This window comes from Homo sapiens, chromosome 1 (assembly GCF_000001405.40).
Source record: "Homo sapiens chromosome 1, GRCh38.p14 Primary Assembly".
Lineage (NCBI taxonomy): Eukaryota > Metazoa > Chordata > Mammalia > Primates > Hominidae > Homo > Homo sapiens.
In genome coordinates, this window is record NC_000001.11 from 54458869 (window position 1) to 54485302 (window position 26434).

The window sequence follows — 26434 nt, forward strand, 5'->3', positions numbered from 1 at the left end:
AAGGAAGGAGGGAGGGAAGAAAGGAAGGAAGGAGGGAGGGAGAGAGGAAGGAAGGGAGGGAGGGAGGAAGGCAGGAAGGAAGGAGGGAAGGAAGGTGGGCAGGCGGGAAGGAGGGAGGGAGGGAAAGAAGGAAGAAAGGAAGGAATGAAGGAAGGAAGGAGGGAGGGAGGGAAGAAAGGAAGGAAGGTGGGCAGGCAGGAAGGAGGGAGGGAGGGAAGGAAAGAAGGAAGGGAGGAAGGAAGGAAGGACAGAGGGAGGGAGGGAGGGAAGAAAGGAAGGAAGGAAGGAGGGAGGGATGGAGGGAGGGAGGAAGGAAGGGAGGGAGGGAGGGAGGGAAGGAAATCTTTCCTTGCTCTGGAGCTCCATGGGAGTCAGCTGAAGTGTTTCCTGTGACTGCAGCACAGCTCAGCTTCTCCCTCTACCCCACCCTGCTTCCCTACTACCTCACATGAGTCCAGCCCAGAAGTGCTCCCCAATAAGCTTCCTGCTTGCAAATCTCCTGACCCAAGCCATCTCCTCATCTCAGCTCCACTGTCATCCTCTCTGTCCACTTACAATGTTGTCCTATCACTCTATCACCCTATCCTATTTTATCTTTACAGCCTTTTGAAACTACCTCTTTATTTGTGTCTGTTCCTTCATCTTTTGTCTCTCTCTCTCTCTCCCCCTGGAACACGAGTTCTATGAGAGCTGCTGTCCCGTCCTCTGCTGTGTCCCCAGTGCCAATGACAGTGCTGGTGTAGAGTTGGTGCTCACTAAATATTTGTGAACTGAACAAATGTGTTTGAAGGAGCGAGTGGGTGAAGGAATGGATGACTGTGTGAGTGATGTCTGCCTTTCCTGCTCTCCCCTGCCCCGCCCCACCCTGCTGAGCCCCTGAGCCAGGCGTTGGCCCCCTCCCCCATGTGACCCCGGCTGAGTTGGGGCCTCCTGGGAGGATGGAGCCTGCAGCCTTCTTGGCTGCTTGCCCTGTATTGATCAAAGCTGGGAGGCTGCCGGCTGAGGTCTGTCCCAGCCCCTGGGGGTGGGGGAGTAGAGAGGGCTTCTGGCTGAGATTTGTGCAGGGCTTGCCTGGGGCATACTAGTGCCACTAGAGATCCATCTGCTTTAGGGGCTGACAGCACCTCTTCTCCACACCTCTCAAGGGAGTCCACACTTGCCCCAGGAGGATGGCTGGGCAGGAGTATGCAGGAGACAGAGGTAGGGCTGCAACTGGGCCTCGGCAGTGAATGCTTCTGGCCTCTTGCAAAGTCATGTATTTTTCAAAGTCATGTCACTATTTATGGAGGTCCTTGGATGGGGAAGGAGGGAGGGAGGGAGTGGAGTGGACAAGGCCCTTCTTATGCAGGCTGGTCAGCAGCCCGCTGTGCAGACCACTGTGCAGACCCAAGGATGAGGTTCTCAGTGAGCTTGGGGTCTGGCTGGAATTGCACTTGAAACAGCTTATCGTGATCATGGGGCACAGGAAAGAGATCGCTGAGGGGAGGTGCCAAGGAATAAGCCCAAGGATGGTCCCTCCTGCAGAATCCTGACCTGAGAATAGGGGTAATCCTATGTGGCCAGAAGAGACAGGTCACACAGCTATTAGTAGTTCAGCCGGAGCTGGAGCCCCATCTCCTATGCTGCAGCTGGACTCAGAGTACACAGGTACCAAGCACCTCCTCTGGGCCAGGTCAGGTGATGGGTGCTGGAGATGACATGGGGATGGGTGGGGCACCACTCTGATCTCAGGAGCTCACAGCCCAGGAAATAGACACACACACACACACACACACACACACACACACTCAAACCAGTAATTCAAACTGGTCTCAAGATAAAAATACAGAGTTGGGAAACTGGGTGGCACAGGCGGAGGAGATGAACTGCATCACAGACAATCTGAGAAGACTGTGCAGGAAGTGGTCCTGAAACCTGGCTAGCCAGGAGGATCCCTTGAGACCAGGAGTTCGAGACCAGCCTGGGCAAACCTGTCTTAAAAAAATATATATATATACACACACACACACACACACACACACACACTCACACACACATATGTGTATATGTACATATGTACGTATATATGACTAATGATATAAAAGTATAAAAGCGGGAGATACTGAGAAGAGGCAGAGGCATGGGGCAGCGCATGAGCAAAGGTGTGGAGGCCGCCATCTTTGCCGCCTGGGCAAAGGCAACAGCCCCTTCCGTGTCTCCAGACTACAGACTCCCCACCCTCTCCCCATGAATCACACCACTGCCAGAGCGAGTGCTCTGAAAACACTTTGATCACACACTCTCCTGCTCAGAGCCCATCAGGGCTTCCTGCTGCCCTCCAGGCAGTGTCCTGTCATGAACTTGAATGCTAAAAGTTACTGTAGGCCTCCTGTGTCTACCTCTTCCCCTTTTACAGAGAAGGAAACTAAGGCCCAGAGAAGAACACAGTGTGAGTCAGATGCCACGCTGGAACTAAAATAGGGCCTTCTGAATGCTGGGCAGGGGTCTTCTGTGACACCACATCCTCTACCTGCCCCCTACCACCCAGCTGGTATTTAAGGAGCTGAGGAAAGTCTGGGCATCCTTAGGTCTGGCTATAGACTCAGAATAGCAAAGCTGAGACTGGGTCCTGGCTAGCGCTGAACTCAGGCCCTCATTTTACAGAGGAGCATACTGAGGCCAGGAAGGCTTGCAAGAATCCTTGTGAACCATCAGCTTTGCAGCTATTTTACTAAGACACCGGCATAAACGTTCTTAGTTAACTCTCACAACTCTGGGAAATAGACTGGATAAAAGTTATCAGGACCATTTGATAGATGACGAAACTGAGGCCCAAAGAGCAGAGTGATGGTTCGGGGTCACACAGCAGGTTCATTTGTTCATTCTTCACATACATGCGGTGCATTTGCTCCACGGCAGACCCAGGGCTAGGGACAAGACTACACGAGCTCACGGTGCTCACACTCTACTTGGCAATTCAGCCAAGCTAGGGCTGCCGTGCCCTGCAGTGAATGCCAGCATGGGAAACCCAGGGGCTGGAGAGCCCATGGCAAGGCTTCAGGGAAGGGGCGGATATTTCAGGGGAGTTCAGAGTGGGGGCTGGGGGCAGAGGGAGTTCCAAGCAAGACCCGGGCCTGCCAACCCCAAGCTCCTTCCTGGAGGACTTAACACTGTGTTGAGCAGTTGTTTTGAATTTCCGGGCAGGGGGCTGCAAAAGGGAGGCTGGGGGAGGTGGTGCTGCCGCCTGTCTGGGGTGCGGGCTGCTATTTACCAGGGCCCTTTGTGGGATGCAGCTCTCCAGGCTGGGGGCTCCCACAATTGCTTCCAGCTGGGCTGTCAGCCAGCTGGGAGGAGTTGGGGGTAGGTGAGGGGGGTGGCAAGAGAGGACCACAGGGCACAGAGGTCCCTTCCAGCCCAGTGTCCCCTCTGCCTTCCTGGGCGGCTGCACTTGCTGAGAGTCAGGCCCTGGTGGAGCATCCTTGGATGTAAGTGTGTCCATAAACCTGGAATCCATCCGGCCTGGCCGCTCCCGAGCTTTATGGCCTTTATGCACTTAATCTTTCATTTCCTCTCCCTGCTTCATCTCCCTGCTCACTTCCCCTCTTTCCCAGGAGGAATTGCTCGGCTCCACCACGGACTCCTCCCCCTCCCCTGCCCCCCCAGCTTGTGGAGGCTCCAAAGCCCCTTTGTCAGAAGGTACCCTTATGGACAGCTGTCCCAGCTTCCATGACTTCTGCCTGGGGCCCCAGCGTTCACCCCCTTTACTACAAACACTCCTGGCATAACATCCCACCCCTACCCGGCTAAGGCTCCTCAGCAGCGCCAGGACAAACTCCTACGCCCAGCAGTGAGACCCTCCAGCCTCCTCTCCTGCTCCGGCCTCAGGCACACCCTAGGCTCCAGCCAAGGTGAACTGTAGCTGGAGTCGCACTGCTGTCCCTTGCCCATGGGGATCCCTCAGCCAGAACCTCCGTCACGCAGGCTGAAAGGTACACATCTTTCCCCATTCAGCTCAGACATCTCTTTCCAGACACTCTGCTCCAGGGTGGGTAGGGACCTGTCCTCAGTGAGCCCAGGGTGTCAGGCCCTGGTGGAGCCTTATTTTCTGTGGAAAGAGGACAATATTTGGTCTTGTTTGTCAACGAGTTTGTTGATAGATAAACAGGGTACATGAACTTTGTAGGTGATACAGGACTGTACCAATGTGAGGGTTGGGAGTCTAGCTCCCTTCCACCATCTGGGGGGGGCTCTACTTTAATGGAACCATGTTACATTTGCCTCAAGAGTCACGTTGTGCTCTTTCCTGATGGAATCCTAGAACTAGATTCCGGGAGCGTGGCTGATCTTTGATATCCGGCACCTGGCCAGGGTCTAGCTCAGGAAATCTCTCATGTGGGAGATCCTCCATTTTACCCAAGGGAGACTAACACCCAGAGAGGGAAAGGAGCTCACCCAACATCACACAGCAAATCAGGACAGGGTTGGGACCAGTTCCTTTAAAACACACTGAAAAATCAGTTAATGAAAAGAGCTCTTGGCTGGGAGCCAGGAGAGTGAGTTTTAGCCCCAATTTAGCTCCCATCCCAATCTCGACAGGTCACATGACTGCAGTCTCCTCAGACCCCTCTCTGGTCCTCCTCCCTTATCTGGTTTCCTTCCAGCTAATTCTGATCTTGGGGGTAGGGAATGTTTTCCGAAAGAAGGCTCTGCTCCTTTAAGGCCCCTCCCTCCCTCTCCTGAGCAAAGCCTCCCCAGAGAGCTGGGCTGGGACTCCGGGGAAGGTGGCAGGTCCCAGCCGCAGGATCTGGTGGGTCCTGCACTCACAGAATAAGTCTGCACAGGACAAAGAATGTCAACTGTCCCTTTTGTTCTGGGGGTGGGAGAATGGGGGTGGGGTGGAGGTGGGAGGCCTGCACCAGGATGGCGAGGGATGAACAGGATGGGTCTGCCTGGGCCAGGATGGGTAGGATCGGGTGTGGGTCCAAGGAGGTGAAGATGTCAGACAGAGGTAGCAGTGTGGAGTCTGCCCTTTCAAGCCTGAGAGTGCTTCGGGCTCGTGGGGTGCAGTGGGGGGTGATGGAGGGGGCATCACTTGCTTCGTCCTTTAGCAAGGTGGTGGGGACTTTGCAGACCTCGGTCCCACAGCTCACACTCACTATACCTTCTCATTGGGTTTCTCTCCACCCCTCACCCACAGTCTGTGGGGCCCTCCACCTACGTCTTCTCCCAGTCCTCAGAAAAACCCCATGAGGATGGTTTCATCACCCCCATGTTTGTCACAGGAAGTGAGGTTCAGAGAGGGGAATGACTTGTCTCTGGCCATTCACCCAGGGAACAGCAGACCCAGAATCGGAAATCAAGTCTTGCTCCAAAGCCCAGGCACTTATCACCTTACTCTCGAGGGCAAAGATCACTCCATGCCAGCTTTTAACTGGACAGAGGGATCCTCAGAAAGGTGAAGGGACTTGCCTCAAGTCGCCTGTATTTGGCAGGGTCTGGCCAGCCCAGCCTTCCTGCCTTGCATCCTGGAGAAGGCTGCGTGACCTTCTCCAGGACGCCCAAAGCTCTTCTTCCTCCCCGGTCAGTTTAAACTCCTGGATTCACCATGGAGCCCTAGAATGAAGGGGGGGAAGCACGAAGGCTGGCTCCCTATCAATGGTGTGACTTCCTTCAGAACATCTAGGGAACTAAGAGTTCTCCTTTGAAAAGTGGGTTCTGTCTCAGAGGGTGGCTGGGAGACTCCATGAGATGGTGCAGGCAAAGGTGAGTAGCGCTGACCAGGTGCTCAATGGAGGCCAATTCCCTCCTTTCCTTCCTCCTTTCCTCTCCCTCCCTCCTCTTTGTGGCACTTTGGCCTTGAGGTTAGGCTGGGCCTGATTAATGGGCTGACAGGAAGCTAGGTCAGCAGGGGCTGGAGGAGAGCTTTGTCTCAAGTTCCTGTTTAGAGGCAACGTTCATTTCCCGGGGGCTCACGCCACTTGAGTTACTCACTCCTATCTCAGCCTCCAGAAGCCCAGACTGTCTGTCCTGGAAGGGCATGATACCCTCTCCTCCCTGCATAGTCAGGTGAGGAAATCAAATCAGGGCCTGGAAAGGCCTTGTCTGAGCTCTGGCAGAGCAGTCACAGGGGAGGGCCCGCCCCAGGGCCTCCCAGGGTCTCCCCGCCACATGGGCAGGCCACCCACTGGCTGAAAGGAGGGTGAGCCGGAGGTGGTGGGAGAGCTTGCCTTGGAGCCAGCGAGCACCCCCTTTCCTCAAGTCACTGCTTATTTAGGGTGGCCCAGGGAGACTGGTGGATCCAAAGCTGGACCAAGCCCCTCACCTTGGGGTCTCCTTGGACCCCCATTCAAGAGCCTGTTCTACCTACACCTACCTGCTCCTAGCCCCCCACTTACTCTTAAAAATTAAAACCTTCAAATGAGGGGGGAACCTTCTCCTTAGGTTGCCTCCCTGTCCAGCTGGATTGATTCCTGGGCCTCCTGCCGAAGACGCTCAGGCCCTTTAAAAATAAATAAATAAATAAATTGAAGACCAGATTTAAAGTCTTGCCTGAACGCTCCCAGCCCAGCTTCTCCCACTCTCCCTCCTCCCGCTGGAGCTCTCATGGCCCCCATTGCCTGATGGGCATTCAAGCCTTCCACTAGAGTGGGAAGAGCTGATTGGTGGGGGGGTGTTGAAAATATCCTGTTCTTTGAGGGCCTCTTGTGTGCCTGGGCTATGCTGAATGCTTTTCCTCTCTTGTTTCAGCCTCCTGACAACCTCACCAGGCAGGCAGTCGGTTCCCATTTTTACAGGACCTGGCAGAGGAGAAGAGTCGGGCTGAGAGAGGGTGGGGAACTTGTCTGAGGCTGCAGTCACATAGAGGCAGGGCTGGGGCTTATCCTCCCGTCTTCCAAGCAGGGTTGGTTCCCAGGGCACCCTGCCCAGGGTCTCCAGTGTGAAAGTGCAGGTTGAAATGGCAGGCATCAGCTGGAGGGGGCCTCCCAGACCAGCTCTGATGACCCCTCCTCATATGGATGGGAAGACTGAGGCCCAGAGAAGGCAATGAGATTATCCCGGGTTCCACAGCAAGTTATTCTCAATGCCACATGAGGTTCTAGGGACTGGGGAACCACTATGAATAAAAGGACAAGATTTTGGTCTTGTGGAGCCTTTTTTTTTTTAAGATGGAGTTTTGCTCTGTTGCTGGAGTGCAATGGCGCGATCTTGGCTCACTGCAACCTCCGCCTCCCAGGTTCAAGCGATTCTTCTGCCTCAGCCTCCCAAGTAGCTGGGATTACAGGCATGCACCACCAAGCCCGACTAATTTTGCATTTTTAGTAGAGACGGAGTTTCTCCATGTTGGTCAGGCTAGCCTCAAACTCCCAACCTCAGGTGATCCGCCCGCCTCAGCCTCCCAAAGTGCTGGGATTACAGGCGTGGGGCATTGCGCCCGGCCTCGCGGAGCTCTTATGGATAGGGGACCAGCAGTGCAGACCACCTAGGACTTCAATAAGGGAATTATGATAGCTTCTAATTACTCAGAGCAGCCCTTAACCCCACCTATGAGTATTTTGGAAAGCTTCCTGGAGGAGGTGATTTCTGAGAATTGAAAGGTAGCGGGAGATAGACAGAGAAGTACCAGTGGGGGAAGAGTGCTCCAAGCATGGGAGTTTTTCTCATCCTCTGTCCCCAGGAAACCTCCAGAGAGTTCAAGTGGTGAAGTATACTGGTTTAAGATTGCCAGGTGAAATACAAGACACTCAGTAAATTTAAATTTCAGGTAGATAGCAATAAATACGCTTTTTTTTTTTTTTTTTTTTTTTTTTTTTTGAGACGGAGTCTCTCTCTGTCATCCAGGCTGGAGTGCAGTGGCACAATCTCGGCTCACTGCAAGCTCCGCCTCCCGTGTTCATGCCTTTCTCCTGCCTCAGCCTCCCGATTTTTTGTATTTTTAGTAGAGACGGGGTTTCACTGTGGTCTCGGTCTCCTGACCTTGTGATCCGCCCGCCTCAGCCTCCCAAAGTGCTGGGATTACAGGCGTGAGCCACCTCGCCCAGCAATAGACTTTAATGTAAGTATATCCCGTGTTGATATGGTTTGGCTGTGTCCCCACCCAAATCTCATCTTGAATTGTACTCCCATAATTCCCACATGTTGTGGGACAGACCCAGTGGGAGATAATTGAATCATGGGAGCGGTTTCCCCCATACTGTTCTCATGGTAGTGAATAAGTCTCACGAGATCTGATGGTTTTATCAGGTGTTTCTGCTTTTGCATCTTCCTCGTTTTATCTTGCTGCTGCCATATAAGAAGTGCCTTTCACCTCCCGCTGTGATTCTGAGGCCTCCCCAGCCATGTGGAACTGTAAGTCCAATTAAACCTTTTTCTTCCCAGTCTTGGGTATGTCTTTGTCAGTAGTGTGAAAACAGGCTAATACAGTAAATTGGTACCAGAAGAGTGGGTGCTACTGAAAAGATACCCACAAATGTGGATGCAACTTTGAAATTGGGTAACAGGCAGAGGTTGGAATAGTTTGGAGGGCTCAGAAGAAGACAGGAAAATGTGGGAATGTTTGGAACTTCCTAGAGACTTGTTAAATGGCTTTGACAAAAATACTGATAATATGGACAATGATATCCAGGCTGAGGTGGTCTCAGGTGGAGATGAGGAACTTTTTGGGAACTGGAGCGAAGGTGACTCTTGTTATGTTTTAGCAGACTGGCTGCATTTTGCCCCTGCCCTAGAGATTTGTGGAACTTTGAACTTGAGGGAGATGATTTAGGATATCTGGCAGAAGAAATTTCTTTTGTTGTTGTTGTTTTGAGACAGAGCCTTACTCTGTTGCCCAGGCTGGAGTGCAGTGGTGCGATCTTGGCTCACTGCAGCCTCTGCTTTCCAGGTTCAAGGGATTCTCCTGCCTCAGCCTCCTGAGTAGCTGGGACTACAGGTGCGCACCACCATGCCTGGCTAATTTTTTGTATTTTTAGTAGAAACGGGGTTTCACCATGGTAGCCAGGCTGGTCTCGAACTCCTGACCTCAGGTGATCCGCCCTCCTTGGCCTCCCAAAGTGCTGGGATTAAAGGTGTGAGCCACCACTCCCAGCCGGCAGAAGAAATTTCTAAGCAGCAAAACATTCAAGAGGTGACTTGGGGCCAGGCACGAGGCTCATGCCTGTAATCCCAGCACTTTGGGAGGCTGAGGCGGGTGGATCACGAGGTCAGAAGATCGAGACCATCCTGGCTAACACAGTGAAACCCCGTCTCTACTAAAAATACAAAAAAATTAGCCAGGTGTGGTAGCGGGTGCCTGTAGTCCCAGCTACTTGGGAGGCTGAGGCAGGAGAATGGCATGAACCTGGGAGGGGGAGCTTGCAGTGAGCCAAGATCGCACCACTGCACTCCAGCCTGGGTGACAGAGCGAGACTCTGTCTCAAAAAAAAGTGACTTGGGTGCTGTTAAAGGCATTCAGTTTTAAAAGGGAAGCAGAGCATAAAAGTTTGGAAAATTTGCAGCCTGACAATGCGATAGAAAAGAAAGTCCCATTTTCTGAGGAGAAATTCAAGCCAGCTGCAGATATTTGCATAAATAACAAGGAGCTTAAGGTTAATCCCCAAGACAATGAGGAAAATGTCTCCAGGGCATGTCAGAGAACTTTGTGGCAGCTTCTCCCATTGCAGACCCAGAGGTCTAGGAGGGAAAAAGTGGTTTTGTGGGCTGGGCCCAGGGTCCCCGTGCTGTGTGCAGCCTAGAGACTTGGTGCCCGGCATCCCAGCCACTCCAGCCATGGCTGAATGGGACCAATGTAGAGCTAGGGCCATGGCTTCAGAGGGTGCAAACCCCAAGCCTTGGCAGCTTCCACATGGCATTGAGCCTTCAAGGGGCACAGAAGTCAAGAATTGGGGTTTGGGAACCTCCGCCTAGATTTCAGATGTATGGAAACACCTGGATGCCCACACAGAAGTTTGCTGCAGGAGCAGGGCTCTTACGGAGAACCTCTGCCAAGGCAGTGTGGAAGGAGAATGTGGGGTTGGAGTCCCCACACAGTGTCCCTACTGGGGCACCACCTAGTGGAGTTGTGAGAAGAAAGCCATGGTCCTCAAGACCCCAGAATGGTAGCTCCACCAACAGCTTGCACTGTGCATCTGGAAAAGCCACATACACTCATTGCCAGCTCTTGAAAGCTGCTGGGAGGGAGGCTGTACTCTGCAAAGCCACAGGGGCAGAGCTGCCCAAGACCCTGGGAACCCACCTCTTGCATCAGCGTGACCTGGATGTGAGACCTGGAGTCAAAGGAGATCATTTTGGAGCTTTAAAATTTGACTGCCCCACTGGATTTCAGACGTGCATGGGGCCTGTAGCCCCTTTGTCTTGGCCAATTTCTCCCATTTGGAATGGCTGTATTTACCAAATACCTGTACCTCCATTGTATCTAGGAAGTAACTAGCTTGCTTTCAATTTTACAGGCTCATAGGCAGAAGGGACTTGTCTTGTCTCAGATGAGGCTTTGGACTGTGGACTTTTGGGTTAATTTTGAAATGAGTTATGACTTTGGGGGACTGTTGGGAAGGCATGATTGGTTTTGAAATGTGAGGACATGAGATTTGGAGGGGCCTGGGGGCGGAATTATATGGTTTGGCTCTGTGTCCCCACCCAAATCTCATCTTGAATTGTATCTCCTATAATTCCCATGTGTTGTGGGAGGGATCTGGTGGGAGATAATTTGAATCATGGGAGCAGTTTCCCCCTTACTGTTCTTGTGGTAGTGAATAAGTCTCATGAGATCTGATGGTTTTATCAGGGGTTTCACTTTTGCTTCTTCCTCACTTTCTCTTGCCACTACCATGTAAGAAGTGCCTTTCACCTCCCGCCATGATTCTGAGGCCTCCCCAGCCATGTGGAGCTGTAAGTCCAGTTAAACCTCTTTTTCTTCCCAGTCTTGGGTATTTCTTTATCAGCAGCATGAAAATGGACTAATACACATGTGATATTTGGGATATACTTATACCAAAAAATATTCATGGCTTATCTGAAATTCAAATTTAGCTGATTTGAAATTTAATTTAAATTTTATTTTATTTTATTTTGAGATGGAGTCTGGCTCTGTCGCCCATGCTGGAGTGCAGTGTCATGATCTTGGCTCACTGCAACCTCCACCTCCCGGGTTCAAGAGATTCTCTTGCCTCAGTCTCCTGAGTACTGGAATTACAGATGCCTGCCACCATGCCCAGCTAATTTTTGTATTTTTAGTAGAGACGGGGTTTCACCACGTTGGCCAGGCTGGTCTCAAACTGCTGACCTCGTGATCTGCCCATCTCGGCCTCCCAAAGTTCTGGGATTACAAGCATGAGCCACCACGCCTGGCCTAAACCACCACGCCTGGCCTAAACCACCACGCCCGGCCTAAATTTTATTTTAGCCTTAATCCTAATACTTTGGGAGGCCAAGGCGGGCAGATGGCTTGAGCTCAGGAGTTCAAGACCAGCCTGGGTAACATGATGGAAACCCTCTACGTGGCGGAAAGTCTCTACAAAAAATACAAAAAATTAGCTGGGCCTGGTGGTACATGCCTCTAATCCCAGCTACTCTGGAAGCTGAGGTGGGAGGAACACTTGAGTCCAAGAAGTTGAGGCTACAGTGAGTCGTGATTGTGCCCTTGTACTCCAGCCTGGGCACCAAGAGTAAGATCCTGCCAGTTACAGGCATGGTGGCTCATGCCTGTAATCCCAGCACTTTGGGAGGCCGAGGCAGGCAGATCATCTGAGGTCAGGAGTTCAAGACCAGCCTGGCCAACGTGGTGAAACCCTGTCTCTACTAAAAAATACAAAAAATTAGCTGGGCATGGTGGTACATGTCTGTAATCTCAGCTACTTGGGAGGCCGAGGTCAGAGAATCAGTTGAACCTGGGACGCTGAGGTTGCAGTGAGCTGAGACCATGCCATTGCGCTCCAGCCTGGGTAACAAGAGTGAAACTCTGTCTCAAAAAAAAGAAAAAAGAGGCCTGGTGCAGTGGCTCATGCCTGTAATCCCAGCACTTTGGGAGGCTGAGGTGGGTGGATCACAAGGTCAGGAGTTTGAGACCAGCCTGGCCAACATGGTGAAACCCCGTCTCTACTAAAAATACAAAAATTAGCCAGGCATGATGGTGCGCACCTGTAGTCCCAGCTACTCAGGAGGCTGAGGCAGGAGAATCGCTTGAACCTGGGAGGCGGAGGTTGCAGTGAACCGAGATCATGCCACTGCACTCCAGCCTGTGCGGCAGAACAAGAGTCCGTCTCAAAAAAAGAAAAAGAAAAAGAAAAAATATCATTTAAAATTTAATCTGGACTCTGTCTCCTACCAGCTTGGTGCTCACTGGGCAAGTTACCTCTCCTTCCTGAGCTACAATGTCCTCACCTGTCAACTGGGAATAATTCTGCCAGAGTCAACAAGGAGGCTAGCTGGGTTCCAGGCCAGAGAAGAGGGGCTGGGGTGGGGTGGTGGGCTGCAGAAAAGATCCTAGAGGAACTGGGAGATTGAGTTTGGATGCATGGGTGACAGCGAGAAGGAAGGGGCAAGACTAGCATTTTTACTTCTGAATGGACTAGTGGAATATGAAGGTGGCACTCCAGGGAGGGTGCTGGGAGGCTGGCAGGGTGCATGGTGAGCTTAGTTCTGGAGTTTAGCACTTCTCCAGGGCTCTCCAAGTGGAAATGTTCAGGTAATAGTTGGGGACAGAGTTAGAGGATAGCAGTTGACATATGCTGTTGGCAGACGGGGGAAGGAAGATTCCAATGGAGGGAACAGCAGGGCCTGAGGACATAGCGTTGTCTCCTCCCAGAGCCCCATCGCATGCCCCAGGTTTAACTATCGACTCAGGGAGGAGTTTGTGGGGGCAGGCGCCTGGCTGCAGCTGGCCCCCGTCCCTGGTGGTACCACCCCAGGTCTACCTCTGCTAGTCTATTACAGCCTCAGTTTTGAGCACTGGAATTCCACTTTATCTCCCCAAAGGTCACCTTGCCCAGGGCCTTGCCCTGGGGGTGGACATTCCTCACATTCCGTGGCCCTCATCAGGATGGTAGGCCCAGGTTTCCAACTATCCTCAGCCCCTCTTGGCAAGACTCGTGGAAGGCCTACTGTGGTCCCTGGGGTCTGGGCCAGGGGTCTAACCAGCCTGAGTTTAAATTCCAACTCTGCCTCCTACCAGCTGAATGATCTTTAGGCAAGCTACCTTCCTGAGCTACACCGTCCTGTCCTTACCTGCCAAGTGGAGATAGTTCTGCCAGGTTGTGTGGGGCATCTTATGGTGGAGTCTTTGAAAGCACTGAGCTCAGCGCTTGGCATTCAGTAGCTGCTCTACACTGTCGCTCCTCCTTTGCCTTCCCTCAGCCTCTATTTCCTCTATTTTTGTTTTTAGACAGGGTCGCACTCTATCACCCAGGTTGGAGTGCAGTAGTCTGATCTCCACTGACTGTAACCTCTTCAGGCTCAAGCAATCTTCCCACCTCAGCCTCCCAAGTAGCTGGGACTATAGGCATGCGCCACTATGCCCAGCTAATTTTTTGTAATTTTTTTGTAGAAACAGGGTTTCCCCATGTTGCCCAGGCTGCTCTCGAACTTCTGAGCTCAAGTGATCCGCCTGCCTCGGCCTCCCAAAGTGCTGGGATTACAAGTGTGGGCCACTGTGCCCGGCCTGTTTCCTCATTTTTAAAGGAGAATTATTAATATATTACCTCCCATGACAAGTAAGGGACTGGGCACGTGTGGGATGTGATGGCCAGGAGGTAGTTATGTGGGAGGCCCCAGGATTCTATCTTCCCCAGGGCCAGCAGAAGCTGGCTGTGGCTGGAGGCAAAGACTGAAGTGACCTCAGCTGGTCAGGCAGGACACTTGGCTACAGCCTCTGTGATATGGCTGCTGGGGAGCCATGGGCTGGCCAGAGGTCCTTGGTGGGAAAGGCTGATAGGAACAGAGGCAAGGGAGCCCATATTCCCAGGAAACTGGGCTCCTGCTCTGAACTCTATTATATAGAGATCCCCTATGCCTTCCTCCAGCCCCACCGCTCCCTACAAGGTGAGGTGTGCCCCCTTCGAGGTGAGGGGATATGCCCACCTGGGGCCCAAGCTCACCATTCTAGATCACACTTCAGGTATCTGAGATCTGGAATTCCCTGCCCCAAGGGCCCTGAGCCTGTTCCCAGGACTAGGGTCTGTCCTCCCAGTGGACTGTGCTATAGGCGTGTGCAAACCTGCACCAAGGGGTGTACAAAGGAGCTGTTTGGGGGGCAGGAAGAAATTAGCTCAGGAGCTTGGATGTGGGGGCTGGGGTCCAATGCGTGCACACAAGGACCCTTGTGGTAAGGGATGAGGCAGGTGGGAAGAGGAGGGGGAACCTGGCAGGAGGACTGCCATTTGACTTTTGTCCCAGGCTGTGATGTTAGGGGTGGGCCATCAGCTGGAGGGCCCGGTGCCAGGGGAGTCCCAGGGTGACAGTTGGAGGCTTTGATCCAATGGTGGGCAAGTCTTAACAGCAGATTTCTCAGACCATCCCTTGGAAATGCATATTCCTGATTCTTAGGAGGGATCCTGGAATTTATATGTTTAACAAGAGTGCCTTCCTTGTGCCAGAGGCCTTGCTGGGAGCTTTGTGTCCAGCATCCCATTTAATTATTACAGTAATCCTGCATGGTAGGTTCCAAGGAGGAAACTGAGGCTTGGTGAGAAGACTTGCCTAAGACCCCACACAGGTTAACGACCTCCTCGTATATACTATCTCCTTGTATCCTCCTGCCCCGCTCTGACTCCAAAACAGCCATCTAAAACCCCAAAAAGCTCAGAAACACAATGGCACACATAGAGTTTGTGTCAGAACTCCTGAATTTCTTTTGGACAGATTCCACTTGGACCCCAGGGAAAGGATATTTAGAATTCAATCAGAAGACTGGTCCTCCTCTTTTGGAGGACAGAAGTCTTCTCAGCTGGACAGCACCTCCAACCCTTGCTATACACATACAACTTCTCATCTTCCTTCCCACCCCAGACCTGCCCCTTTTCCGGCCCTGCCACCCTCCCAGTGCCCAAGCCAAGCACCTGAGCGTTCTTATCCATTGCCACATCCAATCCATAGGTCACCATTCTGCCATGTTACTTCCTTAATAGCTCCTGATTCTGTCCCCACCTTCCAGTGACTTTGCACCTGCCCTTGTTCAGGCCTTATCATCTTTCAGAAGGACCACTGGTCCTTCCAAGCCATTCCCCATATGGCAGCTAGAGTGGTCTCTGGGAAAGGAAGGGGCCACATCACACCTCTGTTCAAAACCATCCATGGCTCTTGTCCCAGGGCTCTCCTTCTAAAAGCCCAGTTCTTCTACACTCCCCAGCAACACTCAGGGGCTTTGCAAGTCTCCCTTCCCACCTACCGACCCTCCCATACTATTTTCCACCTTTGTGCCTTTGCTGATGCTGTTCCCTCTTCACCTTGGCTTCCTCAGTAACTGCCACTTCCTAAGATTCCAGCCAGCCTCCCTTGCTGCCCTAGGCTAGGTTAGGGCCCTCCACTTCTCCCTCTTGCAACACTTGCCCCTGCAGTAGTAATAATAGGTGACACTGATGGAGTGCTAACTCCATGCATTTTTCTTTATTGGCCCATTTATTCCTCCTCATAAGCATTCTCTGAGGCAGGTTCTATGGTTACCTGCATTTTTCAGATAGGTTAACAGGTTAAGGGGAATGCTTGCAGTCACACTGTTTGGGGACTGGAACCCAGGCCAGCTGCCTCCAGAAAGCTGGCTTCTAATTCCAACATGTTGCCTCCTGCCGCAGTGAGTGGGGATTTGGGGGTCTCTGCCTCCAGGGCTAGAATGTGAGATCGCGGAGGGTTGAGTGGCTTTTGCCCCACATCCTGCGGCCAGCAGCCGGCCATGGCTAGGAGAGGCGCCCGACGCCTGGCGCTCCCCGTCCGGGTCTCCGGCCGCTGCGGGGCTGTGAGGGCCCCCGGCGGTACCGGCCGGGGGTGGCCCAGCTGGGGTGGGCTTGGGGCCAGATGGGCTGCGCAGCGGCGGGGAGGCAGGGCCGGCAGGCAGGGGCCGCGCGTTGCCATGGGGACGGGGGTGGGGGCGGCAGCCCCGCCCGGGCGCAGGGGGAGCAGGTGGCGGGTCGGTGAGCAGGCTGGGGGAGGGGCCGGAAGGGGCCCGCGGGGTCGGGGCGCGCCCCCGGCTCCTCCGCCGCCTCCCAGCATAGTGACTCCGGCTGCTCCCTCCGAGATCCGGGCCCGCCGCAGAGCAAAGGGGTGGGGCCAGGACACTCAGGGGCCAGGACACTCAGGCTCCAGTCCCAGTTTAGGCTCTGATTCCCTGAGCATCTTGGGCAACTCACCACCTTCTAGCCTCAGTTTCCCCGACTGTGAATGGAGGGGTTGGACCAGGTTTCCAAGGACATTCCCAGCACACACTACTTTTTGTGGCTCTGGGGCTGGGCGGGGAGGACTCAGGGCTACGTAATTTTTCACCCTCTTCCCAGGTGAAGACTTTATTTTTTCAACAGATGACATCCACCGTTGTATCCTGAACCGGGGAATGTCAGTTGTAAGAGCCGGCAGTCTCTGTACCCACCACCTCCATTGTAGAGATGGGGCCGCAGCAGCTCAGAGACGGTGCGGACCGTGTCGATCACACAGCGCATGAGAGGGAGGGGCGGGGTGAGAAACCCGGTTTGAACCTCACAGCACCCCACCATCACCTCCTGCCTTGGAGCCGAAACCGGGTTTGGGCATGGGGGAGGGGCAGTTGCTGTGGGAAGAAAACAAACACCCCTGCGCTCCGGTCTGCAGGCGCCAGCTGCCAAGATGGCAAGGAGACTGACTGCCTGAGTGCAGACCCGAGGCAGGGGCTTCCTGTCTGCGAGGAGGCCCTGGTGGCTGTTCTCCCACTGCCCACACCCTTCTGGTCTCCATCAGTGACTGGTACAGCGCCGTGGCCCTGTTGCCAGCCTTCATAAGAGGTGTGGAGGTGGTAACCTCCCTCCACCCACCCTCACCCTAGTAAGCGGACAGCCAGGATCCCAACCAGACAGTTTTGCCCCAGTGCTGGGCCTCCTCTCTCCCCGGCCCCCCAGTTCTCAGGGGAGGCCCGGCTTTCCTGGGGAATAAAGCCCCTTTCTATTTTCTCCTCCTGGAGGACCCATTTCTGAGTTCTCAAAGCCTTGGCTATGGAGGGGGTGGTTCTGAGAGGGCTGGGCTTGCTTCTCTGCCCTCTGGCTGGAGTCGCTGGGGACAGGCTCTGCTCGGGTTCCCAGCTGAGGGTGGCGGGAGGTGGTGCTGGGGGTGGGGGATGGTAGAGGGGAGCAGGCAGAGGCAGGGTCTGTCCCTTTAAGGTACAGCTTGCTGCTGAAGCGCCACACACACACACAACCCCCACACACACACACACGCCAGTCTCTCTCTTGCACACAGCCACACATACACACACACACACTCCCAGGCTCTGTTCTCTTTCCCTCTCCGTGTCACCCTCCCTCTCCACACGCACACAACACACACACACACACTCCCAGGCTCTGTTCTCTTTCCCTCTCCCTGTCACCCTCTCTTTCCACATGCACACAACACGCGCACACACACACACACACACACACACACTCTCTCAGGCTCTGTTCTCTTTTCCTCTCCCTCTCTCCACACAGGATATACGCACTCAGCCACACACACAGAAGCATCCACACTTTTCTCCCTCTCCCTCTCCCTCTCTCCCCAAGGTCTAGTTTTGAAAAATATAGGCAAGGGGAGGAAGAGCAGGGGCAAGGAGTTCTGACCTAGAAAATGGGCCCTGCCTCCTTCTGTCCCTCCCAGGCCCGGGAAAGGGGGCTTATTTTTCCATTTGGTTTCACTGCCCTGGGTCAAGGCTGCAGGAAGAAATGGAGCCCCCCATGCAGAAGGTGGGGGTCACGCTCCTGGAGAGGGAGGGAAGGGGCTGCTGGGCTATGGGCCTAGCCTGTTGGACACAAACCCAGGAATCAGGGAGGAGCCTCCCCCTTCCTTCCCTACTCATGCAACATGGGGCTTGCTTCTAGCACAGAGGAGGAAGCAGGTTTAGGGACAAAGTAACCAGGGTAGCTTAGCCACAGAGGGATGGACCAGTTGACCTTTTGACTTGACTTATGATGAAGGGGCCCTTGACCCTTCTTAAGTCATCTTACACCTAGAGTCAAATCCTGGACTAGAATTCTTCCCAAACCCCTGGGATAAGTCCTTCCTTCTTTTTTTATTTTTATCTTTTAGAGACAGGGTCTCGCTATGTTGTCCGGGCTGGCCTTGAACTCCTGGGCTTAAGCAGCAGTCTCCCTGCCTCAGCCTCCTGAGTAGCTGGTACTACAGGTACAGCACCACCAAACCTAGCTCCTCCCTTCTTTTTAACGAACATTCTTGCTGTGGTTCCCTGTAGGGGCTGGGAGTGTACTCTCTGTGTGACTCTCAGCCTCCTCATTTCAATTTCCTCTGACCATGGTTTATTTCCTAAGCCTCGTGGCCGACTCAATGGGGAACTCCTACTAATTCTTCAAAGCCCAACTCAAAAGTGCCCTGGAAGTAGAGAGCTTTTCCTGCTTCAGCCCCTTGGGCAGAATGAGTTCCTGTTTCCTGAAGGCATCTGGGCTTTCTGTGCGTTCTGTAGCTCAAACGTTTGCATAGTTTAATAAGCAGGTGTGTACCGGACCAGTGGATGTGGTTATTCTCACAGTATCTAGTTTATCTATCAGACCCTTTCTATCTCTGTCGGGGGGATTAAGATCACTACTTAGCACACAGGAATGCTCTGGCTCAGCTAAATCAGCTAAAGACTCGGGTGAACAGTGAAACAGGATCTGAACCCACTTCTACCTGGTGTTAGATCCGGCCTTTCCCTTGCCTCTTGAAATTCTTCATAAGCACCTTCATCTACAGGGGACTTAATGGAGGAAGAAGAAAGATCGGATGGGAACTGATAGCACCACAGTGCCCACTAACTAACATGTCCCCTCGCCCTCTTCAATTCAGCAGAGCTTTTTTCTGCTTTGAAGCCTGATGAGAGCTGCTCTCCACTCTAGGGGCGTGGAAGTCCCAGATTCTCTCCTTAGGGCCTCCCAGAATCAAATGAATGAGGTTGATAATGGCCTAAGACCAGCCATCCCAGCTTGGGGCTCCTTCCTCATCTCCATTTCACAGGAGGTGTGGCCAAGGTGTTGTAACTGGCACTGAAGTTTGCTAAGGGAAATTCCATGGCAAATAGAATTGATCCCATCAGTAAATGCCCAGGGAGACACCTACCTTCTCCTGTTATTTTATTTTATTTTATTTATTTATTTTTTGAGACAGAGTCTTGCTCTGCTGCCCAGGCTGGAGTGCAGTGGCGTGATCTTGGCTCACTGCAAGCTCCACCTCCTGGGTTCACGCCATTCTCCTGCCTCAGCCTCCTGAGTAGCTGGGGCTACAGGTGCCCGCCACTATGCCCGGCTAATTTTTTGTGTTTTTAGTAGAGACGGGGTTTCACCATGTTAGCCAGGATGGTCTTGATCTCCCGACCTCATGATCCACCCGCCTTGGCCTCCCAAAGTGCTGGGATTACAGGCGTGAGCCACCATGTCCGGCATCTCCCGTTTTTTAAAAAAGATAAACAGCACCTAGACTCTTAGGCAGTTTCCTAGAAAAATAGTGATGTTAAAACTGAAGAGTCATAGGCGCTTAGGATCCCACCTAGGACTTCCCCAAAACCCGGTCATTTGTACCCCATCCATGACTTTTGCCATATCTGCTTACCTCACTTCCTGTTTTTCTTTAAATTAACTCACTTTGCCAAGCTTCAATAAGGAAACTCTATCAGTATTCTAAATGGAAAACCAGTATTGCTTTCCAGAAACAGAAGGTAAATATAAAATAATTGCAATGAAAACGAACCAATGCTGGCTTAGATACTCTTGCTTGCTGGGAGATCTCTCTCTTCTATAAAGGGAGATTCACAGGTGTTAGAAAGGCGTTAGAGACCTACCAGCCCCAATCTGAGCCTTTTTCTTTCTCCCAGACTTAATCAGAAGGAAGAATTGAAAAGGAATTTCCCTTCTCTTCTCTTCTCTTTCTTGAGACAGAGTCTTGTTCTGGTGCCCAGGCTGGAGTGCAATGGTGTGATCTCGGCTCACTGCAACCTCCACCTCCTGGGTTCAAGTGATTCTCCTGCCTCAGCCTCCCAAGTGCTGGGATTACAGGCGCCTGCCACCACACCCAGCTATTTTTTGTATTTTTAGTAGAGAAGGTGTTTCGCCATGTTGGCCAGGCTGGTCTCGAACTCCTGACCTCAGGTGATCACCTGCCTCGGCCTCCCAAAGTGCTGGGATTACAGATGTGAGCCACCGTGCCTGGCCGAAAAGAAATAACTTTCAAGAAGATGAGACTGAGATTCCATTTTTGTGTGGCCAGGCCTGTGGACTCCCTGACCTCATCCCTCATCCCGCTGGATGTACCTGTCCCACACTTTGGGAGACACTGCCTCAGCCTAAGCCCTTTGGTCCAGAGAGAGGAGAAGTACCCAAGGCCGTTCATCAAAGGAGGAGCCAACTCAGGAATGTCTGACAGAGGGTGGGTCCAGCAGAGAGCTGAGGGGCCTGGCACTGGGAGCAAGCACTGGGCTGTGCGTCACCGAGTGCCAGCTCTGCTTTCCTACATAGATGTCCTTGAACAAGTCCCAACATCCCTCAGAGTCGCAGCTGTAGGGTAGGATGAGCTGTTGTTCTTGAGAACTCCTCCAGGCCAAGCTCCAGTTCTGTGTTACTTGATTACTCCTGAGGAGATAGGAACCCCTCCAGACCTCCCTATAGCTGGCAGGGCAGAGTCCTGACTCCCTTGCAAGACACACAAGCCCATCCCCATCCCACACCGGACTCTGCCATGGTCTGGCCCCTGCCTACTCCTCCAGCATGAACGCTTTCAATCCAGCACGGCAATCTGGTGAGCACGGTGCCTAGAACATCACAGGCATGCCATCACCATTCGGGGGAATGAATCAATCAATGAATACTTTGCTACATGCTCCATGCTGCCTGGTCTCTGCATCAGCTGTTCCCTTTGCTTGGAATGCCCTTTCTCCCTTTCTTGGTCTCCAAGCTGTTATTCATCTCTTAAAACCCTGCTTAGATGCACCCTTCTTCTAAGAAGCTTTCCCTGAAATTTCCCAGAAGAGCTAATCACCCATTAATTCAACAAATATCTGTTGAGTGCTTATCATATGCCAGGCATGATGCTAGGTGCTGAGGAGACAAGAGTGAGCAGGACAGACAACAAGAGTTCTTCTCTCTTCAAGCTTCTATTCTCGAAGCTTCCCAGCATCCAGCTCTGGTGGCACCGTAGCAGTTATTTGTGCTCCTAGATTGTACAGGAGCTCCCAGCTTCAGAAAACTTGGTGCCCCAGCGCATGGCCCTCAGTTTGACAAGCTGGGTTGCATTGTCAACCACCAGACAGCCTTCCCCACCCCCAGAACTGGGATTTATGGAGCAATGTGAGCAGGAGCAGAAGCAGTGCTGGCCACCATTTGCTGAGCCCCTGAGAGCCCACTGTGTGCCAGGAACCTGACCTACATTCTCCACCGCCCTGACAGTACACTGTAAGTCGGTGACCGTGAACTGGGACTCCACCCTGGCTCTGCAAGCCACACTTCTTCCCAGCGGCCCCCCAGCCCTATGGGAGCCTCTTCCCAAGGCTGAGGCCAGATTCCAGGAGCCTCCTCATTTTTAGTCCTGCTCTGTGAACCCCCATCCCCCCAGCACTGGCCTGGCTTCCTGGAATTTGTCCTCCTAATTGAAACCAAACACCGGGGCTCCTCAAGGGCTGTGCCCCAGAGGCCCGGTGGGTTTCTCTTTTCCTCCCTCCTCCCTTCCCCAGCTGGGGGTGGGGTGCTCAACCATAGGCAGCATGTGGGGAGGGGCACTTCCCCTGCAGAGTGTGGCGTGAGGCGCACTCCCTGCCTCTGGGTTCTGAGTTAATCTCTGCCTTCTCACAGGCTGAAGAACTAGAGACTAAGCTTGTCCAACCCGTGGCCCATGGACCACATGTGGTCCAGGGCAGCTTTGAATACAGCCCAACATAAATTTGTAAACTTTTTAAAAACATTATGAGATTTATTTTTGCATTTATGTATTTATGTATGTATATATTTATTTATTTTTGTAGCTCATCAGCTGTCATTAGTGTTAATGTATTTTATGTGTGGCCCAAGACAATTATTATTCTTCCAGTGTGGCCCAGGGAAGCCAAAAGATTAGACAACCCCAGTATAGATGAAGGGCAAGGCAGCAAAGGAGGGGAAGAGAGTGGGAGTGGTCTGGTCAACCAGGATCGCCCTAGAAAACCTAGGACTGGCCCTGTCTCAGGCTGAAGGCCTGGGAACTGGAGGATGGATTTGTGAAGGTCCATTCCCCTGAGACGGACTGTGTGAGCTTGGGCAAGTCACTTCACTTCCCTGAGCCTCAGGTACAAAAATGGGGATATGTGGAATCTATCTCACAGGATTATAGAGAAGTTTAAACAAGATAACCCACATAAGTGTCATGTGGTCTGTGGTTGGTGCTCAAAAAAGGAAACCCAGCCACCATCACTCTTACCCACAGAAAAATGGGTCAGTAACCTTGGCAGAAGGGTCTGTAACATTGGAGTTGTGGAAGGACCTACTTGGAAAAGACACTCAGGGCCAATAAATGTTTGTTGAATGAAGAAATTCACTCAACTTTCAATAAACATTTACTGAGCTGAGGGTCTCTTCTGCTCCAAGCCCTGGGACACAGCATGAGGAAGCAAGGCAGGCGTTGCCCTCAAGGCCGAGTCTGGGCAGGGAGGGGCGGATGGACACACCCTTTAAAGGCGGTGGCAACTCAGACTGATCAGTGCTGTGGCAGGGAAGTAGAGGGGGTTGGGGGGCTCCCAGGAGGGCCTGACCAGGCTGGGCAGAGACAGGGTGGTCAAGGACAGCCTTCCAGAGAAAGTGATGGGGTGACAGTTGAGCCTGACCTTCCCTGATGCACTCACTTCAACCAGTACTTGTCATTCTGTGCCACTTGGACTCAGGTACTGCCTGAGGCATTCAACTATGCTAGGAAGGCTGAACTGACCAGCATGGGAAGGAGGTAGCTGCCCACCCTTCCCTCCCCCGCCCCACCCGTGCCTCCAACACTCTTGTTTCTCACCATGCCATCAATGCTCCTCTCACGCGGCAACCATTACACCTACTTGTTTGCATGTCTGTGCTGCTCACAGCACTGTCCCATAGCATATAATGCAAGTCACAATGGGAACCACATCTGTCATGTTAATTTTTGTTTATTTAGAGATGGAGTCTCGCTCTGTCTCCCAGGCTGGAGTGCAGTGGCATGATCTCGGCTCACTGCAACCTCCGCCTCCCAGGTTCAAGCGATTCTTCTGCCTCAGCTTCCCAAGTAGCTGGAATTACAGGCGTCCACCACCATGCCCGGCAATTTTTTGTATTTTTAGTAGAGACGGGGTTTCACGATGTTGGCCAGGCTGGTCTCGAACTTCTGACCCCAACATCCCAAAGTGCTGGGATTACAGGCGTGAGCCACTGCACCTCTCCGTCGTCTGTCATTTTTAATTCCCTAGTAGCTATATTTTAAAAATAAACAGGTGAAATTACTTTTTTTTTTTTTCGAGACAGGGTCTCACTCTGTTACCCAGGCTGGAGTGCAATGGCACCATCACAGCTACTGCAGCCTTGAACTCCCAGGCTCAGGTAATCCTCCCACCTCAGCCTCCCAAGGTGGGACTACAGGTGTGCACAACCAGGCCCAGCTAATTTTATTTTTTTTGAGACGGAGTCTTGCTCTGTCGCCCAGGCTGGAGTGCAGTGGCATGATCTAGGCTCACTGCAACCTCTGCCTCCAGGGTTCAAGCGATTCTCCTTGTACTTTTAGTAGAGACAGGGTTTCACCATGTTGGTCAGGCTGGTCTCGAACTCCTGACCTCGTGATCCACCCGCCTTGGCCTCCCAAAGTGCTGGGATTACAGGTGTGAGCCATCATGCCCGGCCTCAGGCCCAGCCAATTTTTATATTGTGTGTAAAGATGGGGTTTTGCCCAGTTGCCCAGGCTGATCTCGGACTTCTGAACTTCAAGAGATCCACTTGCCTCAGCCTCCCAAAGTGCTGAGGTTATAGGTGTGAGCCACCATGCCCAGCCCTTGAAATTACTTTTAGTAAGTTATATTAAACTCAATATATCCAAAATATCATAAACATGTAATCAATAATAATAATAACTTCTTTACATTTTTGAGACAAGGTCACTGAGGCTGGAGTACAGTGGCATGATCACAGCTCACTGCAGCCTCATCCTCCTAGCAACCCTCTCGCCTCAGCCTCCCGAGTAGCTGGGACAACAGGTGTGCACCACCACACCTGGGTAATTTTTTATTTTTTGTAGAGATAGAGTCTCACTATGTTGCCCAGGATGGTCTTGAACTCCTGGCCTCAAGCCACTCTCCCACCTTGGCCTCCCAAAGTGCTGGGATAATGGGTGTCAGCCACCATGCCCGGCCTAATATAAAGAAACTATGGGCCAGCTGCGGTGGCTCATGCCTGTAATACCAGCACTTTGGGAGGCCGAGGCGGGTGGATCATCTGAGGTTGGGAGTTCGACACCAGCCTGGCCAACGTGGAGAAACCCCGTCTCTACTAAAAATACAAAATTAGCCAGGCGTGGTAGCACATGCCTGTAATCCCAGCTACTCGGGAGGCCGAGGCGGGAGAATCACTTGAACCCAGGAGGTGGAGGTTGCAGTGAGTCGAGATTGCGCCACTGCACTTCAGCCTGGGAAACAAGAGCAAAATTCCGTCTCAAAAAAAAAAAGAAAAAAAAAGAAACTATGAACAAATTAATTTACATTTTTTGGTACTAAGTCTTTCAAACTCTGGCACGTAGTTTACACTCATAGCACCTCGATTTGGATTGGCTGCATGTTGTGGGCTCATTGGCCACATGTGGCAAGTGGTTGCCATACTGGATAGTGCAGCTCTAGAAAATGGGCTCTTCTTGGTCAGGGACTCTATTTTTCATCTCTCTCTTTAGTGACTAGAAGGGTGTCCTAGGTAGAGGACACAGCATTTGCAGAAACAGAGGCATGAAAGAACAGAGAATATTCAGGGAACAACACGCTGTTTGGTGTGGCCGGCGTGTAAGGTAAATCGGTGGGGAGAAGTGAGCTGTGGGGCTGCATATGTGCCTGGAGCCAGGTGAAGAAAGGCCAAAGGAATTTGGACTTCGGTTATGTGGGCAACTCAGGTCATCGTTTATTTATAAGCAGAGGCATGTTGCATTCAGGTTAAGGCTTCAGAAAGAGACTTCTGGTAGGCAGCCTGGAGGGTAATTTGGAAGGGATAGTGAGGAGGCAAGGGGACCGGCTAGAAAGCTGATGTAACAATATACGTAGGTGAGGAGTGATGAGGCAGCGGGGAATGCCTGGAGAGGGAGTAAGAAGGCAGAACCTCAGGACTTGGAGACTGGCTGCCTGGAGGTGGAGTGGGAAGTCAAGAATAACTCCCAAGTTTCTAGCTCGTGGTGCCAGTTTTCCGAGCCAGGACACATAGGAGGAAGGGGAGGAGGAGCAGGTCTGATGAGGACATGAAGAGTTCCATCTTGGTAAATGCCGACTTTGAGATATTAGCAAGACATCTTGGTGGATACCAGCAGCAGTGGTTAGGATAGACTGTGCTAGAGTTCATAGACGGTAAGGGAGCTCTCTGTCACTTGTGGTATTCAAGCAGTGGCTGGACACACACTAGCCTGGGATGTTGTAGAGGGCCTTTGTGTATCTCAGGTGAGCTGGGCCCCGTGATTTCTCAGCCTGGACAGTTTCTGACCCTAAGGTTTTGCTGCATGTGTGTGTGGGATGCTCTCTATCAGAGCTTGAGCATGTCTATAATTTGGAGACCTCTGTGGTCTAGAGGTGGTTTGTTTTTTTGGACCTTAGCTCACAACTGGAACAGGCATGACGGCTGCACGGGGGCAGAGGCTCCACCTCAACCGGCCACAAGGCACAATCGCCCCACGGTCCTGTTGGACACATATCTAAGAACCACAGAACATGAGAGATCCTTGATCTTCAAATAGCCTTCCTCCACCCCATTTTTTTTTTTTTTTTTTTTTTTGAGACGGAGTCTCACTCTGTGGCCCAGGCTGGAGTGCAGTGGCGCAGTCTTGGCTCACTGCAAGCTCCGCCTCCTGGGTTCACGCCATTCTCAGCCTCCCAAGTTGCTGGGACTACAGGTGCCCGCCACCATGCCCCGCTAATTTTTTGTATTTTTAGTAGAGACGGTGTTTCACCATGTTAGCCAGGATGGTCTCGATCTCCTGACCTCATGATCCGCCCACCTCGGCCTCCCAAAGTGCTGGGATTACAGGCGTGAGCCACTGCGCCCAGCCTTCCTCCACCCCAGTTTGATTTGTGGGCAGACTGAGGTCCTTGCTCAAGGTCACA

General features: G+C 52.5%; 11 annotated features.

The window, feature by feature from the left end:
* Positions 505–4285: an enhancer, noted in NCBI's record as "VISTA enhancer hs1487". NCBI's record gives its function as "enhancer in: limb[8/9]" and the evidence as "EXISTENCE:transgenic organism evidence [ECO:0001131][PMID:17130149]".
* Positions 4448–4742: an enhancer, noted in NCBI's record as "tiled region #12771; K562 Activating DNase matched - State 8:EnhW". NCBI's record gives its function as "activates a minimal TATA promoter and a strong SV40 promoter by Sharpr-MPRA in K562 cells {active_cell/tissue: K562}" and the evidence as "EXISTENCE:reporter gene assay evidence [ECO:0000049][PMID:27701403]".
* Positions 5053–5102: an enhancer, noted in NCBI's record as "active region_1064". NCBI's record gives its function as "activates an Ori minimal core promoter by ATAC-STARR-seq in GM12878 lymphoblastoid cells {active_cell/tissue: GM12878}" and the evidence as "EXISTENCE:reporter gene assay evidence [ECO:0000049][PMID:35858748]".
* Positions 5360–6195: an enhancer, noted in NCBI's record as "H3K27ac-H3K4me1 hESC enhancer chr1:54929901-54930736 (GRCh37/hg19 assembly coordinates)". NCBI's record gives its function as "activates a minimal SCP1, AML or CMV promoter by ChIP-STARR-seq in naive H9 embryonic stem cells {active_cell/tissue: H9 hESC(naive)}" and the evidence as "EXISTENCE:reporter gene assay evidence [ECO:0000049][PMID:30033119]".
* Positions 8068–8362: an enhancer, noted in NCBI's record as "tiled region #12692; HepG2 Activating non-DNase unmatched - State 22:ReprW". NCBI's record gives its function as "activates a minimal TATA promoter and a strong SV40 promoter by Sharpr-MPRA in HepG2 cells {active_cell/tissue: HepG2}" and the evidence as "EXISTENCE:reporter gene assay evidence [ECO:0000049][PMID:27701403]".
* Positions 9256–9757: an enhancer, noted in NCBI's record as "H3K4me1 hESC enhancer chr1:54933797-54934298 (GRCh37/hg19 assembly coordinates)". NCBI's record gives its function as "activates a minimal SCP1, AML or CMV promoter by ChIP-STARR-seq in primed H9 embryonic stem cells {active_cell/tissue: H9 hESC(primed)}" and the evidence as "EXISTENCE:reporter gene assay evidence [ECO:0000049][PMID:30033119]".
* Positions 12828–13328: an enhancer, noted in NCBI's record as "H3K4me1 hESC enhancer chr1:54937369-54937869 (GRCh37/hg19 assembly coordinates)". NCBI's record gives its function as "activates a minimal SCP1, AML or CMV promoter by ChIP-STARR-seq in naive H9 embryonic stem cells {active_cell/tissue: H9 hESC(naive)}" and the evidence as "EXISTENCE:reporter gene assay evidence [ECO:0000049][PMID:30033119]".
* Positions 15936–16569: an enhancer, noted in NCBI's record as "H3K4me1 hESC enhancer chr1:54940477-54941110 (GRCh37/hg19 assembly coordinates)". NCBI's record gives its function as "activates a minimal SCP1, AML or CMV promoter by ChIP-STARR-seq in naive H9 embryonic stem cells {active_cell/tissue: H9 hESC(naive)}" and the evidence as "EXISTENCE:reporter gene assay evidence [ECO:0000049][PMID:30033119]".
* Positions 16570–17203: an enhancer, noted in NCBI's record as "H3K4me1 hESC enhancer chr1:54941111-54941744 (GRCh37/hg19 assembly coordinates)". NCBI's record gives its function as "activates a minimal SCP1, AML or CMV promoter by ChIP-STARR-seq in naive H9 embryonic stem cells {active_cell/tissue: H9 hESC(naive)}" and the evidence as "EXISTENCE:reporter gene assay evidence [ECO:0000049][PMID:30033119]".
* Positions 17204–17836: an enhancer, noted in NCBI's record as "H3K4me1 hESC enhancer chr1:54941745-54942377 (GRCh37/hg19 assembly coordinates)". NCBI's record gives its function as "activates a minimal SCP1, AML or CMV promoter by ChIP-STARR-seq in primed H9 embryonic stem cells {active_cell/tissue: H9 hESC(primed)}" and the evidence as "EXISTENCE:reporter gene assay evidence [ECO:0000049][PMID:30033119]".
* Positions 20981–21567: an enhancer, noted in NCBI's record as "H3K4me1 hESC enhancer chr1:54945522-54946108 (GRCh37/hg19 assembly coordinates)". NCBI's record gives its function as "activates a minimal SCP1, AML or CMV promoter by ChIP-STARR-seq in primed H9 embryonic stem cells {active_cell/tissue: H9 hESC(primed)}" and the evidence as "EXISTENCE:reporter gene assay evidence [ECO:0000049][PMID:30033119]".